Source organism: Homo sapiens, chromosome 19, assembly GCF_000001405.40.
Source record: "Homo sapiens chromosome 19, GRCh38.p14 Primary Assembly".
NCBI classification, from domain to species: Eukaryota; Metazoa; Chordata; class Mammalia; order Primates; family Hominidae; genus Homo; species Homo sapiens.
Window position 1 is genome coordinate 21,346,331 of NC_000019.10, and position 24,935 is coordinate 21,371,265.

Genomic DNA, 24,935 nt, shown 5'->3' on the forward strand with positions numbered 1-24,935 from the left:
TTTTAGAAATTGTAGGCCAGGTGTGGTGGCTCATGCCTCTAATCCCAGCACTTTGGGAGGTCAAGGTTGGTGGATCATGAGGTCAGGAGATCAAGACCATCCTGGCCAACATGGTGAAACCACATCTCTACCAAAAATACAAAAAAAAAATAGGTAGGCATGGTAGCATGCACCTGTAGTCCTAGCTACTTGGGAGGCTGAGGCAGGGGAATCGCCTGAACCCAGGATACAGAGGTTACAGTGAGCCAAGATTGCACCATTTCACTCCAGCCTGGGTGACAGAGCAAGACAAAAAAAGAAAGAAAGAAAGAGAGAAAGGGGGTAGGGAGGGAGGGAGGGAGGATGTATACAATTTTGGAATACATTTTTTTGTTTGTTTGTTTGTTTTGTTTTGTTTTTAGAGACAGAGTTTGGTTCTGTCACCCAGTCTAGAGTGCAGTGGCGTAATCTCGGCTCACTGAAAGCTCCACCTCCCAGGTTCACGCCATTCTCCTGCCTCAGCCTCCCAAGTAGCTGGGACTACAGGTGCCTGCCACCGCACCCAGCTAATATTTTGTATTTTTAGTAGAGATGGGGTTTCACCATGTTAGCCAGGATGTTCTCAATCTCCTGACCTCGTGATCCACCTGCCTTGGCCTCCCAAAGTGCTGGGATTACAGATGTGAGCCACCGCGCCTGGCCTTTTGGTTTTTATTTTTGAGACGGAGTTTTGCTCTGTCACCAGGCTGGAGTGCAGTGGCTCACTGCAACCTCCACCTCCTGGGTTCCAATGATTCTTCTGCCTCAGCCTCCCGAGTAGCAGGGACTGCAGGCATGCATCAACATACTCAGCTAATTTTTTGTATTTTAGTAGAGACAGGGTTTCACCATATTGGCCAGAATGGTCTCTATCTCCTGACCTCATGATCCACCTGCCTCAGCCTCCCAAAGTACTGGGATTACAGGCTTGAGCCACCACACCCAGCCTTTGGACTAAATATTAATAACATTTATTAAAATAAAAGTTTGATCAAACATTTTTAATTTAACAATGTTTTCCATTTAATTTACCATATCAGATAATTCTGTTCTTCACTCTTTGGGATGCTGCGTTGGCCCTCTGTAACATCCAAAACTTTGGGATTAAAAAAAAGACAATTTTTTAGCTGAAATGTGATTTTGTGAAGCTTGTCAAATATGTCAAAGGGTTGCCAGGCATGGTGACTCATGCCTGTAATCCCAGCAGTTTGGGAGGCTGAGGTGGGTGGATCATGATGTCAGGAGTTCAAGACCAGCCTGGCCAAGATGGTGAAACCCCATCTCTACTAAAAATACAAAACTTAGCCAGGCGTGGTGACAGGCACCTGTAATCCCAGCTACTCAGGAGGCTGAGGCAGGGGAATTGCTTGAATCCAGGAGGCATAGGTTGCAGCGACCTGAGATCATGCCACTGCACTCCAGCCTGGGTGACAGAGCGAGACTCAGTCTCAAAAAAAAAAAAAAAAAAAAGTCAAAGGGTTAAAATGCTTTACCAAAATAGGATCACATGGCACCATAAAATAATAGTCATTCACTTAAAAATGTGATAATAAAAGGATTTTAAAAAACAAAACCATTACCACTTGATATAAGAGATTGAGTTTTCCAATTAAAACACCTGAGAAAGACAGCATGAAAAAATTCTATCTCTACTTTCTTTGTTTTCAAATTTGTTCAAAAAGTGAACAAAAATATTTTACTTTGTCATATTATTAATACATAAGACTTTTGTTCCAGAGAAAATCAATTTCTAGTTTTGTATTAGTGTATTATCTATACTAAAGCTCATTTTAATAAAACTTTATAAATAAATCCACCAAATTTGTCACTTTTGACCACTCTAGATTTCCATACATGTTTTACAATCTTTTATAGTTAATTCTTTAACTTTTTATATTCTGTCTCTATTCTTTTTATTTTTTCATTTTTCAACAATCTCTAATTTCAAACTTATCGGGGGAACCAGCCCCCAATATTTCCATGTATGTTCTTTTCTATTTTCCTTAAGTGTCAGCCAGTCTGAGAAATAAACAGAAAGAGTACAAGGAGAGAAATTTTACAGCTGAGCCTCTGGGGGTGTCATGACATATTGGTAGGACTGTGATGGCGACCTCGAGCTGCAAAACCAGCAAGTTTTTATTAGGGATTTTAAAAGGGGAGAGGGTGTACAAACAGGGAGTAGGTCATAAGGATCACATACTTCAAAGGGCAATAAAGATCACAAGGCAAGGCAAATTAGAATTCCTGATGAAGGTCTATGCCCCACCGTGCACACATTGTCTTGATAAACATCTTAACAGGAAACAGGGTTCAAGAGCAGAGAACCGGTCTAACTAGAATTTAGCAGGCTGGAATTTCCCAATCCTAGTAAGCCTGAGGGTACTGCAGGAGAACGGGGCATATTTCCGTCCTTATCTCAACCACATAAGACAGACACTCCCAGACTGGCCTTCTATAGACCTACCCCCAGGAAGGCATTCCTTCCCCAGGGTTATCAATTATTAATATTCCTTGCTGGGAAAATAATTCAGTGATACTTCTCCTATTCACACATCTGTCTATAGGCTCTCTGCAAGAAGAAAAATATGACTGTATTCTGCCCAACCCCACAGGCAGTCAGACCTTATGTTTATCTTCCCTTGTTCCCTGAAAATTGCTGTTATTCTGTTCTTTTTCAGGGTGCACTGATTTCATATTGTTCAAACACACATATTTTACAATCAATTTGTACAATAGTGGTCCTGAGGTGACGTACATTCTCAGCTTATGAAGATAACAGGATTAAGAGATTAAAGTAAAGACAGGCATAAGAAATTATAAGAGCATTATTAGGGAAGTGATAAATGTCCATGAAATCTTCAGAATTTATGTTCAGAGATTGCAGTAAAGACAGGCATAAGAAATTATAAAAATATTAATTTTGGGAACTGACAAATGTCCATGAAATCTTAACAATTTATGTTCTTCTGCCTCAGTTCCAGCTGGTCCCTCTGTTCAGGGTCTCTGACTTCCCACAACACAAACTAGAGGAAACTTTCCCAATTTTTTTATCAAAAAGTAGTTTTTACTTGTCTATACATTCTATGCAGAGTTGTTTTTCTTACATCTAGTAGTTTTAATTACATACGTTAATTACATTAACTCTGAACAACCAAATTTTTAGTGAAATCTCAAGGAAGTAATTTTGAACAGTTTCATATCAGTATTTGTGACAAAAACAATTTTATATTTTTTAAAAAAGACGATTTTCTCAAATTTTCTGTTAACTAACAGATCTAAATCTATTTAGTTTTTTAAACATCATATAAAAATAAGATTCCAGTAAATCATGGTGTCTCACACTTGTAATCCCAGCACTGTGGGAGGTCAAGACATGAAGACTGTTTAAGCCCAGAAGTTTGAGACCAACCTGGGCAACATAGTGAAACCCACGTCTACAAAAGATACAAAAATTAGTTGGGCATAGAGCCCTCCACCTGGAGTACAAGCTATTCAGGAGGCTAAGGTAGGAGGATTGCCTGAGCCTAGGAGTTTGAGGCTACAGTGAACCATGATGGAGCCACTACACTCCCTCCAAAGTCACAGAGTGAGACACTTTCTTAAACAAAAAAATGCTAATGTATATAAACTTAAACTTATGGGTTTCTTTGCTCTTATTATTTTAATAGTTATTGGGGTACAGGTGGTGTTTGCTGGTGATTTCTGAAATTTTGGTGCACTCATCACCTGAGCAGTGTACATTGTATTCAATGTGTAGTCTTTTATTCCTCACCCTCTCCCATCCTTCTCCTCAAGTCTCTAGAGTCCATTATATAATTCATATGTCTTTACAGCCTCATAGCTTAGCTCTCACTTATAAGTGAGAACATACAATGTTTGGTTTTCTATTCCTGAGTTACTTCACTTGGAATAATGGTTTCCAACTCCATCCATGTTGCTGCAAATGCCATTATGTTGTTTCTTTCTATGGCTGAGTAGTATTATGTATACCACATTTTCATTGTTTACTCATTGGTTGATGGGCATTTAGGCTGGTTCCATATCTTTGCAATTGCCAATTGTGCTGCTATAAATATGTGTGTTATAAGTTTCATTTTGTTGTTGTTGTTTTTTTTTGAGATACAGTTTTGCTCTTGTTGCTCAGGCTGGAGTGCAATGGCGCGATCTTGGTTTACTGCAACCTCCGCCTCACCAGCTCAAGCAATTCTCCTGCCTCAGCCTCCCGAGTACCTAGGATTACAGGCATGTGCCACCATGCCTGGCTAATTTTTTATTTTTAATAGAGATAGGGTTTCTCCATGTTGGTCAGGCTGGTCTCTAACTCCCAACCTCAGGAGACCCACCCACCTTGGCCTCCCAAAGTGCTGTGGTTACAGGCGTGAGCCACCGTGCCAGGCCCACAAGTTTCATTTTTATGTGACTTCTTTTTCTGTGTATAGATACTCAGTAGTGGGACTGCTGAATAAAATATTAGTTCTATGTTTAGTTCTTTTAAGAATCTCCATACTGTTTTTTTATAGTGGTTGCACTGGTTTACATTCACATCAAAAGTGTAAAAGTGGTTTTTTTTTTAACCACATCCATGCCAATGTCTATTTTTTTGTTTTGTTTTAATTATGGCCATTCTTGGCAGGGCACAATGGCTCATGCTTGTAATCCCAGCACTTTGGGAGGCTGAGGTAGGTGGATCAATTGAGGTCAGGAGTTCAAGACCAGCCTGGCCAACATGGTGAAACTCCATCTCTAAAAATATATGAAAATTAGCCAGGTGTGGTGGTAGGTGCCTGTAATCCCAGCTATTCGGGAGGCTGAGGCATGAGAATTGCTTGAACCTGGGAGGCGGAGATTGCAGTGAGCCGAGATCGTACTGCACTCCAGCCTGAGCAATAGAGCAAGACTCAAGTCCCAAAAAAAAAAAGAAAGAAAGAAAGAAAGAAAAGGCTGGGCACGGTGGCTCACACCTGTAATCTCAGCACTTTGGAAGGCCGAGGCAGGTGGATCACGAGGTCAGGAGATCAAGACCATCCTGGCTAACACGGTGAAACCCTGTCTCTACTAAAAATAAAAAAACAAAAAAAATTAGCCAGGCGTTGTGGTGGGCACCTGTAGTCCCAGCTACTCGGGAGGCTGAGGCAGGAGAATAGCATGAACCCGGGAGACAGAGCTTGCAATGAACCGAGATCGCGCCACTGCACTCCAGCCTGGGTGACAGAGCGAGACTCCATCTCAAAAAATAAAAAATTATGGCCATTCTTTTTTTTGACATGAGGTTTCACTCTTGTTGCCCTGGAGTGCAATGGCATAATCTGGCTACTCTTACAGGAGTAAGGTGGTATTGCATCGTGCTTTTGATTTACATTACAAATCAAAGTCCCATTTATTTATCTTCACTTAATTGTATTTGCTTTTGGGTTCTTGGTCATGAAGTCTTTGCCTAAGCCAATGTCTACAAAAGTTTTTCTGATGTTATCTTCTAGAATTGTTAGTTACAGGTCTTAGATTTAAGTCTTTAATTCATCTTGAGTTGATTTTTCTATGAGAGATGAAGATCCAGTTTTATTCTTCTACATGTACCTTGCCAATTATCCCAGCATTATTTGTTGAATAGGGCATTCATTTCCCACTTTGTGCTTTTGTTTACTTTGTCAAAGATCAGCTGGCTGTTAGTATTTGGCTTTATTTCTGGGTTTGTTATTCTGTTCCATTGCTCTATGTGCCTATTTTTATAACAGTACCATGATGTTTTGGTAGCTACAGCCTTGTAGTACAGTTTTAAGTTGGGTATTGTGATGCTTCTAGATTTTTGTTTGTTTGTTTGTTTTGCTTAGTTTTACTTTGGCTATGCGTGCTTTTCTTTGGTTCCATAAGAATTTTATAATTGTTTTTTCAAGTTCTGTGAAGAATGATGTTATTCTGATGGGAATTGCCTTGAATGTGTAGATTGCTTTTGGTAGGTTGGTCATTTTTAAAGTATTTACTCTACCCATCCATGAAAGTCAGATGTTTTTCCATTTGTTTGTGTCATCTGTGATTTCTTTCAGTAGTGTTTTGTAGATTTTCTTTTAGAGACTTTTCACTTCCTCGGTTAGGTATATTTATTTATTTATTATTATTATTATTTTTTTTTTGAGATGGAGTTTCGCTCTCGTTGCCTAGGCTGGAGTGCAATGGCATGATCTCGGATCACCCCGATCTCCACCTCCCAGGTTCAAGCGACTCTCCTGCCTCAGCCTCCCAAGTAGCTGAGATTACAGGCATGTGCCACCATGCCCAGCTAATTTTGTATTTTTAAAAGAGACGAGGTTTCTCCATCTTGGTCAGGCTGGTCTTGAACTCCCGACCTCAGTTTATCTGCCTGCCTAGGCCTCCCAAAGTGCTGGGATTACAGGCATGAGCCACCATGCCCTGCCACGGTTAGGTATATTTCTGATTATTTTATTTTATTTTTTGCAGCTGTTGTTAAAGACTTTGTGTTCTTAATTTGATTCTCAGCTTGGTGGCTGTTGGTGTATAGCAGTGCTACCAATTTGTGTACATTGACTTTGTATCCTGAAACGTTACTGTATTTATTTGTCACATCTAAAAGCTTTTCGGGTGAGTCTTTAGGGTTTTCTAGGTATATGATCTTATCATCAGTGAACAATAACATCTTCACTTCCTCTTTACCAATTTGGATGTCCTTTATTTCTTTGTCTCATCTGAATGTTCTGGCTAAGACATCCTGTACTATGTTGGATAGAAGTGGTGAGAGTGGCCATCCTTTTCTTGTTTCAGTTCTCAGGGGGAATGCTTTCAGCTTTTCCTTGTTCAGTATATTGCTGGCTGTGGGTTTGTCATAGATGACTTTTATTCCCTTAAGGTATGTCTCCTCTATGCTGATTTTGCTGAGGGTTTTAATCATTAAGGGATGCTGAATTTTGTCAAAAGCTTTTTCTGTATCTATTGAGATGGTCATACAATTTTTGTTTTTAATTCAGTTTATGTGGTGTATCACATTTATTGACTTATGTACATTAAACCATTCATCCATCTCTGGTAGGAGATGCATTGTATCATTGTGTATTATCTTTTTAATATGCTATTGTATTTTGTTGGCTAGTATTTTGTTAAGAATTTTTACATCTATGATCATCAGGAATATTGGTGTGTAGTTTTCTTTTCTTGTTATGTTTTTTCCTGGTTTTGGTATTAGGGTGATATTGGCTTCATGGAATGATTTAGAAATAATTCTTTCCTACTCTATTTTTTTGAATAGTTTAAGTAGAATTGGTACCAATTCTTGTTTAAATGGCAGGTAAAATTCAGCTGTGACTCCATTTGGTCCCAGAGTATTTTTTGTTGGCAATTATTTCAATCTTGCTACTTGTTATTGATCTGCTCAGAGTTTCTATTTCTTCCTGGTTTACTCCAGGAGAATTGTATATTTCCAGAAATGTATTCACCTCTTCTAGGTTTTCTAGTTTGTGCATTTCATAATATTCATAGTAGCCTTAAATAATGTTCTGTGTTTCCGTGGGATTGCTTGTAATATATCCTGTTTTGTTTCAAATTGAGTTTATTTGAATCTTCTCTCCTTTCCTTGGTTAATCTCGCTAATGGCCTATCAATTTCATTTATATTATCAAAGAATGAACTTTTTTCATTTATCTTTTGAAATTTTTGTTTCAATTTCATTTAGTTCTGCACTGATCTTTGTGATTTATTTTTCTGCTGGGTTTGGGTTTAGTTTGTTTTTGTTTCTCTAGATTCTAGAGGTATGAGCTTAGATTTTTAAATTTGGGCTCTTTCAGACTTTTTGATATAGGCATTGTTATGAACATTCCCTTTAGCACTGCTTTTGCTGTATTCCAGAAGTTTTGATAAGTTTTGTCACTGTTATCTTTCAGCTCAAAGAGCTTTTATATTTCCGTCTTGATTTTATTGTTGAGCAAATGATTATTCAGGAAAAGATTATTTAATTTCCATGTATTTGTATAGTTTTGAGGGTTCCTTTCATAGTTGATTTCCAGTTTTATTCCACTGTGATCTGAGCGAGTACTTGATATAATTTCAATTTTCCTAAATTTATTGAGACTTCTTTTGTGGCCTATCACATGGTCTATCTTGGATAATGTTTCATGTGCTGATAAAAAATACACATTCTGCAGTTGTTGGGTAGAATGTTCTGTAAATATGTGTTAAGTCCATTTGTTCTAGGGTATATTTTAAGTTTATTGTTTCTTTGTTGACTTTCTGTCTTGATTATCTGTCTACTGCTGTCAGTGGAGTATTGAAGTCCCCTACTATAAATGTGTTGCTGTCTATCTCATTGCATTTTTTTCTTTCTTTTTTTTTTTTTTTTTTTTGAGATGGAGTCTCACTCTTGTTGCCCAGGCTGGAGTGCAATGACACGATCTCAGCTCACTACAACCTCTGCCTCCCAGGTTCAAGCAATTCTCCTGCCTCGGCCTCCTGAGCAGCTCGGATTTCAGGCACCCGCCACAACCCCCAGCTAATTTTTTTTTTTTTTTTTTTTTTGTACTTGAGATGGAGTCTTGCTCTTGTTGCCCAGGCTGGAGTGCCATGGCACGATCTTGGCCCACTGTAACCTCCGCCTCCTGGGTTCAAGTGATTCTCCTGCCTCAGTCTCCTGAGTAGCTGGGATTACAGGCACCCACCACCACGCCTGGCTAATTTTTTGTATTTTAGTAGAGACGGGGTTTCACCATGTTGGCCAGGCTGGTCTTGAACTCCTGACCTCAAGTGATCCACCTGCCTCGGCCTCCCAAAGTGTTGGGATTATAGGCGTGAGCCACCACACCCAGCCAACTAATTTTAGTATTTTTACTAGAGACGGGGTTTCACCATGTTGGCCAGGCTGGTCTCCAACTCCTGACATCAGATCATCCACCCGCCTCGGCATCCCAAAGTGCTGGGATTACAGTCGTGAGCCACCTCTCCCGGCTTAAAGTTTTTTTTCTTTAAAAGTTTTCAAACATTTGCTATGATGAAAAATAAATAATGTGCTGTTCAGCTTTGATTTTTTTTTTTTTTTTTTTTTGAGAGAGAGTCTCGCTCTGTTGCCAGGCTGGAGTTCAGTGGCACGATCTCGGCTCACTGCAACCTCTGCCTCCTGGGTTCAAGCGATTCTCCTGCCTCAGCCTCCTAAGTAGCTGGGACTACAGGCGCCCGCCACCACGCCCAGCTAATTTTTGTATTTTTAGTAGAGATGGGTTTCACCAGGTTGGCCAGGATGATCTCAATCTCTTGACCTCGTGATCCGCCCACCTCGGCCTCCCAAAGTGCTGCGATTACAGGCATGAGCCACCACGCCCGGCCTCAGCTTTGATCTTCTAAACTCATCCTTCATCTTTTCCAAAAATTATTCCATGTCTTTTCAAAATGCTTCTCCAGTTTTGTTTTTTTTTTTCTTGAAACAGGGTCTCACTCTATCACCCAGTTTTGCTTGCAATGGTGTAACCAATCATGGCTCACTGCAGCCTGGACCTTCCAGGCTCAAGCAATCCTCCTGCCTCTGCCACCTAACTAGCTGCAGCTACAGGCATGCACCACCATGGCTGGCTAATTTCTTCATTTTTGTCATGAAAACAAACTCTTATTATGTTACTCAGGTTGCACTGGAACTCCTGCGCTCACATAATTCTCCCATCTCAGCCTCCCAAAGTGCTAAAAATATAGGTGTGAGCCACTGTGTTCTTCTGCAAATTTTTTTTTTTTTTTAATACAGAGGCTGGCTCTGTTGCCCAGGCTGGAGTGCAGTGGCACGATCTCAGCTCACTGCAACCTCTGCCTCCCCAGTTCAAGTAATTCTCCTGTCTCAGCCTCCTGAGTAGCTGGGATTGCAGGTGCACACCACCACGTCTGGCTAATGTTTGTATTTTTAGTAGAGACAGGGTTTCACCATGTTGGTCAGGCTGCTCTGGAACTCCTGACCCCATGATCCACCCACCTTGGCCTCCCAAAGTGCAAGGATTACAGGCATGAGCCACTGCACGTGGCCTCTTCTGCAATTTCTTAAGAGGATTATTTCCAGTGATAAACAGTAGTATATGAACACAAACCTAAAAGGAATCTGACTTATTCTGTAGAAGTGTCACTCTCCAGGATTTCAAGGGTCTAGGGCAGGGCAGCTACTTTAGTAGTATGATCTATGGAGGTGCATGGGCTTTGGCGTCAGATAAAGTTGATCCTGAGTCTTATTCCAGTCACTTAGTACTCGTGGGTCTTTGGACATGTTTGTTGATGTGGAGAAGCTCTATATACCACATATGCAAAAAAGGTAGACTGATACTGATTGCAAAATGGCAGCAATTTTTCTGCCCTCTTGTATCTATGCCCATTGTCAGGTGCTTTTACAGCTGTTTCCATCAAGATCCAGAATCTGTCTTCTAAACCCTAGATCTGGCTGGCCTTATTTGCTCAGGGCAGTAGAAACTTGTGAACATGACAGTGGGCTAGTTTGGGGCCCAGGCTCAAATGGTCTTGAATACTTCTGTTTTTTGTTCAGAATGCTGCAATCTCCATGAATAAAGCCCATGTTAGCAAGCTTAAAAATAAGATACCATGAGGAGGAGAAGCAAGGTGCCCCTGTTGAGCCCCAGAAGCAGAAGATCACCCCCAGAAGTACAGCTGGCTAGTCAACAAGCAGCTGATGATACCAGTCTGAAAGAGCTCAGCTGATACCAGAAGAACGGCCCCACTCACCCAGCCTAAATGGCTGATCATCTTAATTATAAACTAGTAAGTTTTGGATGATTTGTTATGCTGCAATAGCTAACTAATACATGCACCAGTGCAGATAGGATGCCAGGATTCAGTGACAGGTTGATTACTTGTTGCCTTCTAACAGTGGGCACCCTCTAGGTACTGATTTCTTCCCCTAATTTAAAGTTGGATGTCTTGAAAGAGAATGTTGGGTAATGCAGAAATACTGGGAGACATGTATGCATGTGATTGGTGTTTATATTCGCACAGTCCCCACACCACAGGAGAAAACAGATAACCACAGCCTCGCAATTAGGGTCAAGGCCAAATAGCAAAATAAGTTTGCCTTTAATCTATTTTCTCTGTATCTAAACACTGGAGTCCAAGAATGTGGGCAGAACTGAAGACACAGAGTTTTTTTCTCCTAAGCTCCATCATCCTATGTTCACAGCCTAATCTCTAAAAGAAAGGTGGGCAACAGGTGGTAAGCAGTGGTTTACCTGTGGTTATTTTATTTCTGCTGCCCTCAGCTCTTTCTATGGCCACTATCTGTTCCAACCTCAGAACTGAAGATAGATGTTAGTAGGGAGAGGCCCTTCCTTCCCCTCTGGCCCTTCACACCATTGACATCAGAGCTGCCATGTGTGGCTCCTGGGTGCCTGGAATGTGCTTGGTCTGAACCGCGATATGCTAGAAAGGTAAAACACAGAGTTATTTTCAAAAATTTAGTTGCAAATATTTATATACTTCATTAATAATTACATATTCCTCACACATTAAAATGATATTTTGTATATATTAGGTTAATTACATTGTTACAATCAATTCAACCTGTTCCTTGTTATTGTTGTTGTTGTTGTTGCTGTTGTTGCAGTCTGTCACTAGGCTGGAGTGCAGTGGCGCAATCTCGGCTCACTGCAACCTCTGCCTCCCGGGTTCAAGCGATTCTCCTGCCTCAGCCTCCCCAGTAGCTGGGATTACAGGCATGCGCCACCACGCCTGGCTAATTTTTATATTTTTTTCAGTAGAGACAGGGTTTAGCCATATTGCCAGGAGGGTCTCAATCACTTGATCTCGTGATCCACCAGCCTCGGCCTCCCAAAGTGCTGGGATTACAGGCGTGAGCCACTGCGCGTGGCCTCTTGTTTCTTTATATTTTTCACCCCCCAAAACGGAGTCTCGCTCTGTCCGCCCAGGCTGGAGTGCAGTGGCGCGATCTCTGCTCACTGCAACCTCCTCCGCCTCCCGGGTTCAAGCAATTCTCCTGCCTCAGCCTCCTGCGTAGCTGGGATTACAGATGTCCACCACCACGCCCGGCTAATTTTTGTATTTTTAGTAGAGACGTGGTTTCACCATGTTAGCCAGGCTGGTCTCAAACTCCTGACCTCTTGATCTGCCCGCCTTGTACTCCTAAAGTCCTAGGATTACAGGCGTGAGCCACCATGCCTGGCCCCTTGTTTCTTTTTAATTTTCTAGTTTGGCTACCAGAAAATTCAAAATTCACGTGGCTCACATTTTATTTCAGAGGATTACCTCCTTTTTAAAATCTCAGGCTGCCTGCTCAAAGGACCGTAAGCCAGGAAAGTAAAAAAACCCTGAAATTTTAAAACATTTGTTATTATATCCTTTTCATTTATGTATAGCCATATGATATAGTATTTACAAATGCATATGACCTTATACGCAAGGTTGAATGCAAATACCCTTTGGGGTGGGCCTATCTCAGCTCAAGGAGGAAGCCCTGCCTGAAAAGGCTGCAGCCTAGGCGGTCACTCTTTCTTCATTCAGCCCAGCATCTAATTACATCTTCTGTCAGTCAGGGCCTGAGAGGGTGGGGTTTTAAACGTTATCCAATCAGCGACGCTGGGCTGGGAACTGTCCAATCAGGCACGCAGCTTGAGCGGAGAGGACGGCTTCCGGGATGTGGCGGGATTTGTCCGCTTCTTTGTCTTTGGCTGCCGCTGGAACTCCGGGTCTCGTCTTCACTGCTCTGTGTCCTCTGCTCCTAGAGGCCCAGCCTCTGGTCCTGTGACCTGCAGGTATTGGGAATCCACAGCTAAGACGCCGGGACACCCTGGAAGCCTAGAAATGGTGAGAGTGCGGGGTCCAACATCCCGAGAGAGGGGAAGGGCTGGTTGGAACCGGTGGGAAGTGGCTGTGGCGAGACTCAGGCCTCCCCGCAGTCAGCTCTACAATCTGCGCCCCGAGTTCTCCTTGCCCAGCTCGGCCTCAGTCGCCTTCAGCCATAAGATGGCGGTTGCGCCGACAGCCCGGCCCCCGGGCGTCCTGTCTCTTCCCTGCATAGTGACTGTGCCCTTGCCTGGAGCCCTCTCTGGGGAATCTCTGCACCCGCAGCGCCGCTTCTCTACCGGATTGTGCAGGGACCGTGGGAGGGTCGTCAGGGGAGAATCCTGACTTGGGGTGCGGGTTCATGAATGGGAAGAGGTTTGTTCCGTGGGGTTCCCAGTTCCTATTATCTCCTATTAAAAGTTAATGGGAGTCACTGCAAAAATATTAAAAGAATTTAATCAAAGAGTGGTTCTAGGCTGGGCGCGGTGGCTCACGCCTGTAATCCCAGCACTTTGGAAGGCCGAGGTGGGCGGATCAGAGGTCAGGAGATCAAGACCATCCTGGCTAACACGGTGAAACCCCGTCTCTACTAAAAATACAAAAAATGAGCCGGGCGTGGTGGCGGGCGCCTGTAGTCCCAGCTACTCAGGAGGCTGAGGCAGGAGAATGGCGTGAACCCAGGAGGCAGAGCTTGCAGTGAGCCGAGATCGTGCCACTGCACTCCAGCCTGGGCGACAGAGCGAGACTCTTGTCTCAAAAAAAAAATTAACTTATTAAATAATTTAATCAAAAAGTGGTTCTAGAATTGTAGAGCACCAAGCTGTGGTTTTTAGTTTGTGGTCTATGGGAGAGGCTTGAAAGAAAGTCTTTTGTAAAATGCATGATGAAGAAAACCAAATTTAGTAATTGGTTAGGTACAGTTACGTGGTTTTTTAATTTGTACATTAAAGGTGAAAATTTCCTGGTTATGTAATCGGAGCTCAATTGGCAGTTTATAGTAGGTGAAGCCTCAATTTTGTTTCTCTGAATTTAGTAATTAAAAATAATGCGCCTGAGTTAGATTTTTTAAATTGAAGTAGGAACCCAGGGACTAGAGAAACCTCAGTCTAATTGCCTGCCACTTAATTATTTTCACACTCCACAGGGAACTGATTTTCTGCTGCATTTTTCACCTGGGTCCCAATCAGGGTCTTAAGTCTAACCCCCATCCCTCATTACTCCAACCTCATTCTTGCTTGCAGTAAGATACTAAATTTCCAATTTCTTCTGGGGTTCCCAAATGCCAGCTTTTCCTCCCTAATTCACATTATCACGTATTTGTGTTTTTTTGTTTGTTTTGTTTTGTTTTTGAGATGGAGTCTCGCTCTGTCTCCCAGGCTGGAGTGCAATGGCGCGATCTCGGCTCACCTCAACCTCCGCCTCCCGGTTTTAAACAATTCTCCCACTTCAGCCTCCTTAGTAGCTGGGATTACAGGTGCGCGCCATCATACCTGGCTAATTTTTGTGTTTTTGTAAAGACGGGGGTTTCACCATGCTGGCCAGGCTGGTCTCGAACTCCTGACCTCAGGTGATCCGCCCGCATCAGCTTGCCAAAGTGCTGGAATTACAGGCGTGAGCCACCGGGCCTGGCCACTTATTTTGTAGTGTACTTTTTTATACCGTATTTTAATTAATTATTTTTTGGCAAGGCATTAAATGGTGCTTTTTTCTTTTCTTTTTTTTTTGAGACGGAGTTTCACTCTTGTTGCAAAGGCACATTCTCGGCTCACCACAACCTCCGCCTCCGGGTTCACGAGGTTCTCATGCCTCAGCCTCCCAAGTAGCTGGGTTTACAGGCATGCACCACCACGCCCAGCTGATTTTGTATTTTTAGAAGAGATAGGGTTTCTCCATGTTGGTCAGGCTGGTCATGAACTCCCGACCTCAGGTGATCCGCCCGCCTTGGCCTCCCGAAGTGCTGGGATTACAGGCGTGAGCCACTGCGCCCTGCATAAATGGTGTTTTGGGGGTTTTTTTGTTTGTTTTTTGTTTTGAGACGGAGTTTTGCTCTTGTTGCCCAGGCTGGAGTACAGTGGCATGGTCTCGGCTCACCGCAACTTCTGCCTCCCGGGTTCAGGCGATTCTCCTGCCTCAGCCTCCGAGTAGCTGGGATTACAGGCATGTGCCAGCCACCACGCCCGGCTAATTTTTTATTTTTAGTAGAGACAGGGTTTCTCTATGTTGGTCAGGCTGGTCTCGAACTCCCGACCTCAGGTGATCCGCCCGCCTCGGCCTCCCAAAGTGTGGGGATTACAGGCGTGAGCCACCACACCCAGACCAATGGTACTTTTAAGAAGGTTTGTTATCTGTTTGTAAATATTTTCCATGAAAAGAAAGCAAATAATAATCCCCTGACACTGTGTTGCAAAAAATCTCTGTGTGTCTTTTCCTTTTATCTTTCTAGGCACAGAGATGTTATCGGAATTTTTTTGGGTCAGAGTTCTGCTTTGGAAAATTTATGGGGTGATGTGTCCTCAGCCACCGTTTAGTTTTTTCCCGGTCCTGGGTTTCAGTATTATCTGGGGATAAACCGAGATATCTGCCATGGTTATGTCAGCTAGAGTGTCTAGTGGATATCAGCTTCTGGTTTATTTTCTCCCATAGGACGACCTGAGGTATGGAGTGTATCCTGTCAAGGGGGCAAGTGGATACCCTGGGGCTGAGAGGAATCTTCTGGAGTACTCTTATTTTGAAAAGGTAACCCCTTGATATGTTAAAATTGTCTTTGGGACCAGCTTGAAAAACATGCTCTACTAAAAATACAAAAAACTTAGCCAAGCATGGTGGTGCATGCCTGAATTTCCAGCTACTCGGGGTTGCTGAGGCAGGACAATCACTTGATCCCGGGAGGCAGAGGTTGTGGTGAGCCGAGATCCTGCCATTGCACTCTAGCCTGGGCAACAAGAGTGAAACTCCATCTAATAATAATAATAATGATAATAATAATAATAATAATAATAATAATAATAATGAATAAATTGTCTTCTACCAACCCTGCTTCCATTTCATGGAGACAAATTGCTTGTCAGCCAATCAGATGCTGGTAATGAGGAACAAACACAGTAATAACTTCTGCCCCCTGGATTCTGTAAGGGAGCAGAAGAATAGTGAAATAAATATAGTAAAAGAAAAAGAGTAAAAAACAGTGAAAAATATGTGACCAAAAAAATAGTATCCCGAAAGACAAACAACAAAAACAACAACAAACTGACTCCAGTGAGATGGTGTAAGAACTTGCAAAGTAAAATGCACCTAGGGCAGTCACCGAAAAATAGTGCAGTGTCTCCTGAATGGGTGGTTCTTGAGCACATAAGTGAGCAGGAGTGGGTGGAAGGATCTCTCAAGTGATTGAATGGCCTGACTTGAAACGTGAGTCAGACACATCTGTTATTTAACCAGCACTGCCATTCCTGGATTTGTCACCTTGAAGAGATTTGTTCACTTATTTTCACCTGTTTTTTAGCTGTAAGGTTACATTATATTAGTAGGGCTTGAAAGGTAGAAAAATATTTACAAAGGGCATAAAAGACGTGGGATTCAAAAAAATTAATCATATATTTCATTTGTTAAAAATTTTCACTTACCTTTTTCTTTCCCAGAGTGAGTTTACAAGTTTTCTCAGGTGTAGCTTTTAATGGCTGGGTGATTTCAAACAGAATTTCAAGCTTAGCTTTCAGAATGCTACCAAGAAAAAGAAGAGGAAAAATGTCTATTCCATTTTTGCCGTAGAAAATGAATACGTTTCCACAAGAAAATGTGGTAGATAATTGGTGAGTTACATAGATTCATGAAAACATCAGTTCCTTTTTTTGGCAGGGTAAATTTTTGACAGCGAATATCTCTGTTCAAATTCTGTTATCTTGATTTCTGAGTTTTATGCTAAATTTTATGAGATGAAACTTGGTATTGCCTGGAAGTGTTTCCATATGACTAAATGTTTGCTGCATGATTTTTAATGGAATTAATAGAATAATACATTTATTTTCTGATAGAAATACTTTTGCTTTTCTTATTAAGGTATAAAATGTAAGCACCTTAAAATTTTCTTCCCTTATAGGAATACTGTGTTTGAGTAATTTTTTTGGATTTTTCAAACAACTTAGTTTCAAAAACCAAGTGAGCAACTCTAACATGGAAATTAAAGCTTGAGCCCAGTGACTCAGAGCTAGGGCTTATATTGAGACTGTAAAAGTAGGTTATTAAAGGTCCAGTTAGTTTTTTCTGGAGTGCCTCTCCTGCAGATGTTCTAGCCTGCTCACTCCAGTCATGGAAGAAGCCTTTCTGATGAGAGAAGCTAGAGTCCTGGAAAGCTACAGGCAGATGAGTTAAGGTTAAGACAAAAGGGGACTGGGAGGGTCTTACTGACCGTGTAGTTGTTTTAAGGCAGTTTCTAGACTTTGTAATATGTTATAAAGTTAATTTCTGTTAAAAAATTTGAATTCTAGACCCAGGCACGGTGGTTCATGCCTGTAATCCCTGCACTTTGGGAGGCCAAGGTGGGCGGATCACCTGAGGTCAGGAGTTTGAGACCAGCCTGACCAATATAGTGAAACCCCATCTCTACTAAAAATACAAAAATTAACTGGGCGTGGTGATGGGTGCCTATAATCCAGCTATTCTGGAGGCTGAGACAGGAGAAATGGTTGAACCCAGGAGTCGGAGGTTGCAGTGAGCCGATAACGGTCCCACTGCACTCCAGACTGGGTGACAGTGAGACTCCATTTAAAAAAAAAAAAAAAAAATTGAATTCTAGAGCCCGGCATGGTGGCTCATGTCTGTAATCCCAGCACTTTGTGAGGCTGAGGCGGGCATACCACCTGATGTCAGGAGTTCGAGACCAGCCTGACCAATATGGTGAAACCCCGTCTCTACTAAAAATACAAAAATAATCCAGGCGTAGAGATGTGCACCTGTAGCCCCAGTGACTTAGGAGCCTGAGACAGGAGAAATGTTTGAACCCGGGAGATGGAGGTTGCAGTGAGCCGAGATCATGCCACTGCACTCTAGTCTGGGCAATAGAGCGAGAATCCGTCTCAAAAAAAAAAAAAGAATTCAAAAAGAGCATTGCAACAGGAGGAATACCAATTATAAAAATTTTAAGGAATGCAATTTTAGGTAGACAAGGGCTTTTTTTCATAGAGTGGAGCCTACAAGATTAGAAAGAATGGAGGAGAATGGCAAACGGGGGGTTAAAAAATCAGATTTCAGATCAGAGAATGTTTTATCCTGAAGTCAGCATGTTCTTAGGAGGGATATAGAATGAAATTGTATAATGGCTCAGATTGAGGGTAGCTCAAAGTTCAGTAGCCTGTGAAAAATTTTATTTAGACCACTGAAGACAAATACAGCTGACTCTTTTAATAAGAAAAAGAAGAAAAGGTGCCAAGTTTTTACCAAAAAAGGGTCCCAATCCAAACCCCAAGAGAGGGTCCTTGGATTTCATTCTAGAAAAGAATTCTGGGTAAGTTCATTGAATAAAATGAAAGGAAGTTTATTAAGAAAGTAAAGAAATAAGAGAATTGCTTACTCCATAGGCAGAGCAGTCCGGAGGCCTACTGGTTGCCCATTTTATGGTTCTTTCTTTTTTTTTTTTTTTTTTTTTTGAGAGGGAGTCTTGCTCTGTTGTGAGGCTGGAGTGCAGTGGCATGATCTCGACTCATGGCAACTTCTGCCTTCTGGGTTCAAGTGATTCTCCTGCCTCAGCCTCCTGAGTGACTGGGACTACAGGCATCCACCACCATACCCAGCTAATTTTTTTTTTTTTTTTTTTTTTTTTTTAGTAGAGACAGGGTTTCACCGTGATGGCCAGGATGGTCTCCATCTCTTGACCTCATGATCCACCCACCTTGGCCTCCCAAAGTGCTGGGATTACAGGCATGAGCCACTGCACCCAGCCAGTTATTTCTTGATTATATGCTAAACAAGGGGTGGATTATTTATTCCCATTGTAGACCATATAGGGTAACTTCCTGATGTTTCCATGGCATTTGTAAACTGTCATGGCACTGGTGGGAGTGTAGCAGTGAGGATGAGCAGAGGTCACACTCATTGCCATCTTGGTTTTGTTGGGTTTTATCCTGCTCCTTACTGCAAGCTGTTTTGCCAGCCAGGTCTTTATGACCTGTATCCTGTGCTGACTTCCTATCTTATCCTGTGACTTAGAATGCCTAACCATCTGGGAATTCAGCCCAGTAGGTTTCAGCCCTATTTTACCCACCCCCTATTCAAAATGGATTTGCCCTGGTTCAATATGCCTGACATTTCCTCCCTCTTTTGTACAAAAAAACCCCTTAATCATAAGGGTTACAGAGGAATGAAAATTCATCTTCTGTAACTACTTCATGCTGTATAGGGGCGATGATATTCTTGCTTAACTATTAGAGTCTTTTGTATTTGAGGTAGAGAGGAGCTCAATCGGAACTCATCAGTATGTGAGGGCCATTCATAACTGTTGAGTTTCAAAAAAGGGGTTATCTCAAAGATTAGTAAGTGTTTAATTTAAGAAAACATCTAGGCTGGGCGTGGTAGCTCATGCCTGTAATCCAAGCACTCTGAGAAGCCTAGGCGGGTGGATCGCTTGAGGTCAGGAGTTCAAGACCAGCCTGACCAAATGACGAAACCCTGTCTCTACCAAAAATACAAAAAATTAGCCAGGCATGGTAGGGCGCGCCTATAATCCCAGGTACTCAGGAGGCTGAGGCAGGAGAATCGCTTGAACCTGGGAGGCAGAAGTTGCAGTGAGCCAAGATCGCGCCACTGCACTCTAGTCTGGGTGACAGAGGGAGACTCCATCTCAAAAAAAAAAAAGAATAGGAAACATCCAGAAAGTTTATCCTGCATTTCTACACACAGAGTACAACTGCAATATATTTTACAAGTTCAGGCAGCCGCTTCTTGGTAGCAAAAGGGTCGTTTCCAGAAGTCCTGTCAGCTCTCAAGTTTCCCCTTTTGGAGGGGAAAGAGCTCCCCATGTCCTAATTCTGTCACTCATAGACACCAGCAAACAGTGCAAGACAGATTAATCCAAAAAGAATAGCAATTAACATCCAGTGGTGTGAAACCAGTTCTTAGTTGAGACTTTACTGAGAGCGGTCTCTAACCTACATCTTAGGAAGGACTATAACCTTCCTAAGTTGGGTCTTGAATCCAAGTACAGTCAAGCATCCTTGCCTTGTTTTAGAGGCTCCTTTAACCCACGCTGTCTTAGGAGAGACTCTGACTTTCCTAAGTTGTGCCTCCAACCTAATCTCATCCTTTACCCAGGTATATGGACTCAAAGTCAGCCAATTGGTATCCACAGATAATTTTTCTGGGGGAGGGACAGAAGTCTCTTCAGTATAGTCCTTTTGTGGTTGCCAGGAAAATGTTACTAGAAAGAAGTCTTGATCCATACCCCAAGAGAGGGTTCTTGTATCTTGCTCAAGAAAGAATTCAGGGCAAGTCATAAAGTGAAAGCAAATTTATTGAGAAAGTAAAGAAATAAAAGAAATGGCTTTCTCCATAGGCTGGTTGCACATTTTTATGTTTACTTTTTAATTATATGCTAAATAAAAGGTGGATTATTTATATATCTCCTTTTTAGACCTTTACGATGTAACATCCTGATGTTGCCATGGCATTTGTAACCTCTCATGGCACTGGTGGGAGGGTAACGGAGAATGACCAGAGGTCACTCTCATCACCATCTTGGTTTTGGTGGCTTTTATCCCACTTCTTTACTGCAAGCTATTTTATCAGCCAGATCTTTGTGACCTGTATCTTGTGCTGACCTCCTATCTCATCTTGTGACTTAGAATACCTAACCATCTGGAAATGCAGCCTGGTAGGTCTCATCCTTATTTTACTCAGCCCCTATTCAAAATGGATGCTGTGTACCTCTGACAGATTCTGTGTCTGGATGTGTAATAAATAAGGAAAGAGAGCACCATCTAAGTCATAATGGGAAGGGTATTTCTTTCTATAAACTGTTCCTGAAGAACACAAAGGATGAAGAATTTTATTAATCACAGCTATTTACTAGGGTTATGTATGTGTTTCATCTTTCTACATCTTTTTTTGTCCTATACATTTCTTCTATTTGACTTTCCTCAGTTGTATATTTTATAATAAACTGGTAAACATAACTACAGTGTTTTTCTGAGTTCTGTGAGTAGCTCGATCAGATAATTGAACTTGAGAAAGGGCTCAGGAGTCCCCAGTTTTTAAACAGTAGCTCAGACACATAGATGGGCCTATGGGGTTTGTGACTGGCATCTGCAGTGAGGACAATGTTGTGAGACTGAGCCCTGAATCAGGGTCTGTGCTGACTCTGGGTGGTGTCAGAATTCAAATGTTAGACATTGAGTTGGTGTTAGAGAATTGCTTGATGTTCAGCAAATGCTACAGATTTGGTGCCAGAAGAAAGATATCACAGACGCCTGGCCTGCAGTGGAACTCCAGGTGTCTGAAAATGGAAGGCTCTGCTCTCCTGTACACAGACTGTCATACTGCCCATTGTCCTGTGATTCCAGGTCTCCTCTTAGGGTGAGAGAATGAAAACTCAGAGGAAAGGAGATCTAATGACAGACCCTCTGTCTCACAGCTGCCACCACAGGATTCCCACCCACTCACAAACACACCCACTAGACATTGATGTGTCCACACTCCTCCCAGGACTAGGCACCACCATCAGGAACTTCACCACAGCATATTTGATCCTAGGGTTTCTTGCCAAAAAGACGCAAAAGTGTCTACAACTCTCCTGGCATATCCCCACTGTATCTGCAGCAGTAACCTGTTTTCTCCATCTACCTAGCATTATGGAGCACCTGTTCATAATCTCATCTGCCTGCATGGACACAGAAATAAATCAGAGTACAGCCCCACTGGGACCACTATCTGCAGAACAAACAGTTCTTTCCAGTTATATTGCACTCTTCTGCACGCATGGGTTTTTCTTAACTTTTCTTTTTGGTTCAGGCATACACGTGCAGGTTTGTTATATAGGTAAAATTGTGTCATGGGGGTTTGTTGTAGATTATTTTGTCAGTGAGTTCCTAAACATAGCACCAAAGAGGTATTTTTTTCTGATCCTCTTTGTCCTTTTATCCTTCATCCTCAACTAGGCCTCCATGACTGTTCCTTCTTTATGTCCATGTGTTCTTATTATTTAGCTCTTCCTTATAAATGGTGACATGCATTTGGTTTTCTGTTTTGCGTTAATTTTCTAAGAATAATGGTCTCCAGCTCCATCCATATTGCTGCAAAGGACTTAATCTTGGTGTTTTTTGTTTGTTTGCTTGTTTTTTGAGACAAACTCTTTTTTTTTCTTTTTTTTGAGACGTAGTTCTGCTCTTGTTGTCCAGGCTGGAGTGCAATGGTGCTATCTCGGCTCACTGCAACCTCAGCCTCCCAGGTTCAAACAATTCTGCCTCAGCCACCCGAGTAGCTGGGACTACAGGTGCATGCCACCAAGCCCTGCTAATTTTTGTATTTTTAGTAGAGATGGGGTTTCACCATGTTGCTCAGGATGGTCTTGATTTCCTGACCTTGTGATCTGCCCACATCAGCCTCCCAAAGTGCTGGGATTACAGACAGAAGCCAAAGCGCCCAGCCAGACAAATTCTTACTCTGTTGCTCAGGCTGGAGTACAATGGTGTGATCTCTGCTTACTGCAACCTCCACCTCCCAAGTTCAAGTGATTCTCCTGCCTCAGCCTCCCGAGTAGCTGGGATTACAGATACTTGCCACGACGCCCAGCTGATTTTTTGTATTTTTAGTAGACACGGGGTTTTAGTATATTGGCCAGGCTGGTCTTGAACTCCTGATCTCAAGTAATCCATCTGCGTCAGCCTCCCAAAGTGTTGGGATTATAGGCATGAGCCACAGTGCCTGGCTTTGTGTTTTTATATGGCCACATGGTCTTCCTTGATTTTTATGTACCATATTTTATTTTGATTAAATCTTTATTTTATTTTTGGAGACAGTGTCTCACTCTGTCACATAGGATGGAATGCAGTGGTGTGATCTTGGCTCACTTCAGCCTCAACCTCCAAGGCTCAAGGTTTAAGGAATCCTCCTACCTCAGCCCCTTAAGTAACTGGAACTATAGGCTCACACCATCACGCCTAATTTTTCTTTTTTTATTTTTTGTAGAGATACGGCTTTGCCATGTTGCCCAGGCTGGTCTTTAACTCTTGAGCTAAGGCATTCCACCTGCCTTAATCTCCTAAAGTGCTGGCATTACAAGCGTGAGCCACCTCATGCTACCATATTATATTTTTTCAATCTAGTCTACCATCAATAGGCAATTAGGTTTATTCCGTGTCTTTGTTATTGTGGACAGTGGTGAAATGAACATGCATGTTTTAAGTTTTGCATTTAAGTCTTCAATTCAGGTTGAGTTGATTTTTATATATAGTGTAAGGAAGGGGACCAGTTTCAATCTTCTACATAGTGCTAGCTAGTTATTCCAGCACCATTTATTAAATACAGAATTCTTTTCATATTCCTGTCAGGTTTGTCAAAGATCAGATGGTTGGAGGTGTGTGGCATTATTTCTGGGCTCTCTATTCTGTTGCATTGTTCTATGAGTCTGTTTTTATGCCAGTATAATGCTGCTTTGGTTACTGTAATGTAGTTTGAAGAGGGGCAATGTAATGCTTCCAGCTTCATTCTTTTTTTTTTTTTTTGAGACATAGTCTCGCACTCTCTCACAGGCTGGAGTGCTATGGCATGATCTCAGCTTACTGCAACCTCCACCTCCTGGATTCAAGTGATTCTCCTGCCTCGCCCTCCTGAGTAGCTGGGATTACAAGCACACACCACCATGCCTGGCTAATTTTCGTATTTTTAGTAGAGATTGGGTTTTACCATGTTGGTCACACTGGTCTTGAACTCCTGACCTCATGATCCGCCAACCTCGGCCTCCCAAAGTGCTGGGATTACAGGTGTGAGCCACCATGCCCATAATGGTTGAAAGCTTTTTAAACATCTATTGAAATGACTTTGTGGTTTTTATCTTTAATTGTGTTTACATGATGAGTAACATTTATTAATTGTATGTTGAACCAACCTTTTATTTCAGAGATACAGCCAAGTTGATCATAGTGCATTAGCTTTTTGATGTTCTCCTGGATTTGGTTTGCCAGTATTTTGTTGATATTTTCATCAATGTTCATTAAAAATATTGGCCTCAAGTTTTCTATTTTTTGTTTTATATTTGCCAGATTTTGGTATCAGAATAATGCTATTTTTATAGAATAAGTTGGAAAGAAGTCCCCTTTTCTCAATCTTTTGAAATAATATTAGTAGAAGTGGTACCAACTCTAATTTTTACATCTGGTGGAATTCAGCTGTAAATTTTTCTGATTCTTTGTTGTTTTTGGTGGGTAGGCTATTTATTTCTAATTCAATTTTGGAGCTCGTTATTGGTATATTCAGGGATTCAATTTCTTATTTGTTCAGTCTTTGGAGGATGTATCTTTGCTCCAAGTTTACAATCCTCAAGCTTGGCCCAGATGAAGTCTCTACTTATATTCATGTTGCCTCAGTTTTTTTCTTTTAGGTAGACATATTACTTAGAATGTGCTAGAGCAGCCTCTATGAAGGGATCTCTTCTTTGACTGTACTCGGCTTGCTGTAATGCCCAAGGATGCAGAGTCAGGCTAACCTCACCTAGAACCTGCACATAAGTTCTGGCCTCTGCCTGGGATTTACAAGACAGGGCCAGACTTTGGGTTGAGAATGTACTGAAAACCAACAAAAGGCATTTTCTGTATTGTGAGATGTCAGTGTAGAAATCTTAAAGCCCCCATTTGAGAATGTGGCTCTTTAAGCTTTTCAATCTTGTTCAGTGACCTGCTACAGTATGTGAGAGGCTCCTGGTGTAAATAGAATCTGATGATAGAATCTGTAAGTGTAAACAAGAATGAGAGATCAAGGCCACAAAGTATCCAGAGCCATAACCACAACTATACCTACCGGTAATTGTGATATTGGAGTAAAGTATTCTCGTCCTTCTTCTTACCCAAAAGCTAGCAAAAATCAGGATAGGTGACCCAGGTTCTGGGGCTCCACCAAGGCAGTTCCATTTTCTATTTAGAATCAGCCTGAGTTTCTCCAGC

At 41.9% G+C, this 24,935-nt stretch overlaps 1 protein-coding gene across 6 annotated transcripts in view, besides 2 other annotated features; it reads left to right on the forward strand.

The window, feature by feature from the left end:
- Positions 11,383-11,940: an enhancer, noted in NCBI's record as "H3K27ac-H3K4me1 hESC enhancer chr19:21540515-21541072 (GRCh37/hg19 assembly coordinates)". NCBI's record gives its function as "activates a minimal SCP1, AML or CMV promoter by ChIP-STARR-seq in naive H9 embryonic stem cells {active_cell/tissue: H9 hESC(naive)}" and the evidence as "EXISTENCE:reporter gene assay evidence [ECO:0000049][PMID:30033119]".
- ZNF738 (zinc finger protein 738) overlaps positions 12,670-24,935 on the forward strand; it is a 29,583-nt gene continuing 17,317 nt past the window's right edge. For all 6 annotated transcript variants that reach the window (NM_001355237.2, XM_047438272.1, NM_001355241.2 and 3 more), the window contains exons 1-2: positions 12,670-12,813; positions 15,436-15,528. In NM_001355237.2, coding sequence (NP_001342166.1) covers positions 12,811-12,813; positions 15,436-15,528 — 96 coding nt within the window. In that variant the 5' untranslated portion in view covers positions 12,670-12,810. The remainder of the gene's footprint in view (positions 12,814-15,435; positions 15,529-24,935) is intronic.
- Positions 12,732-13,031: an enhancer, noted in NCBI's record as "active region_14385". NCBI's record gives its function as "activates an Ori minimal core promoter by ATAC-STARR-seq in GM12878 lymphoblastoid cells {active_cell/tissue: GM12878}" and the evidence as "EXISTENCE:reporter gene assay evidence [ECO:0000049][PMID:35858748]".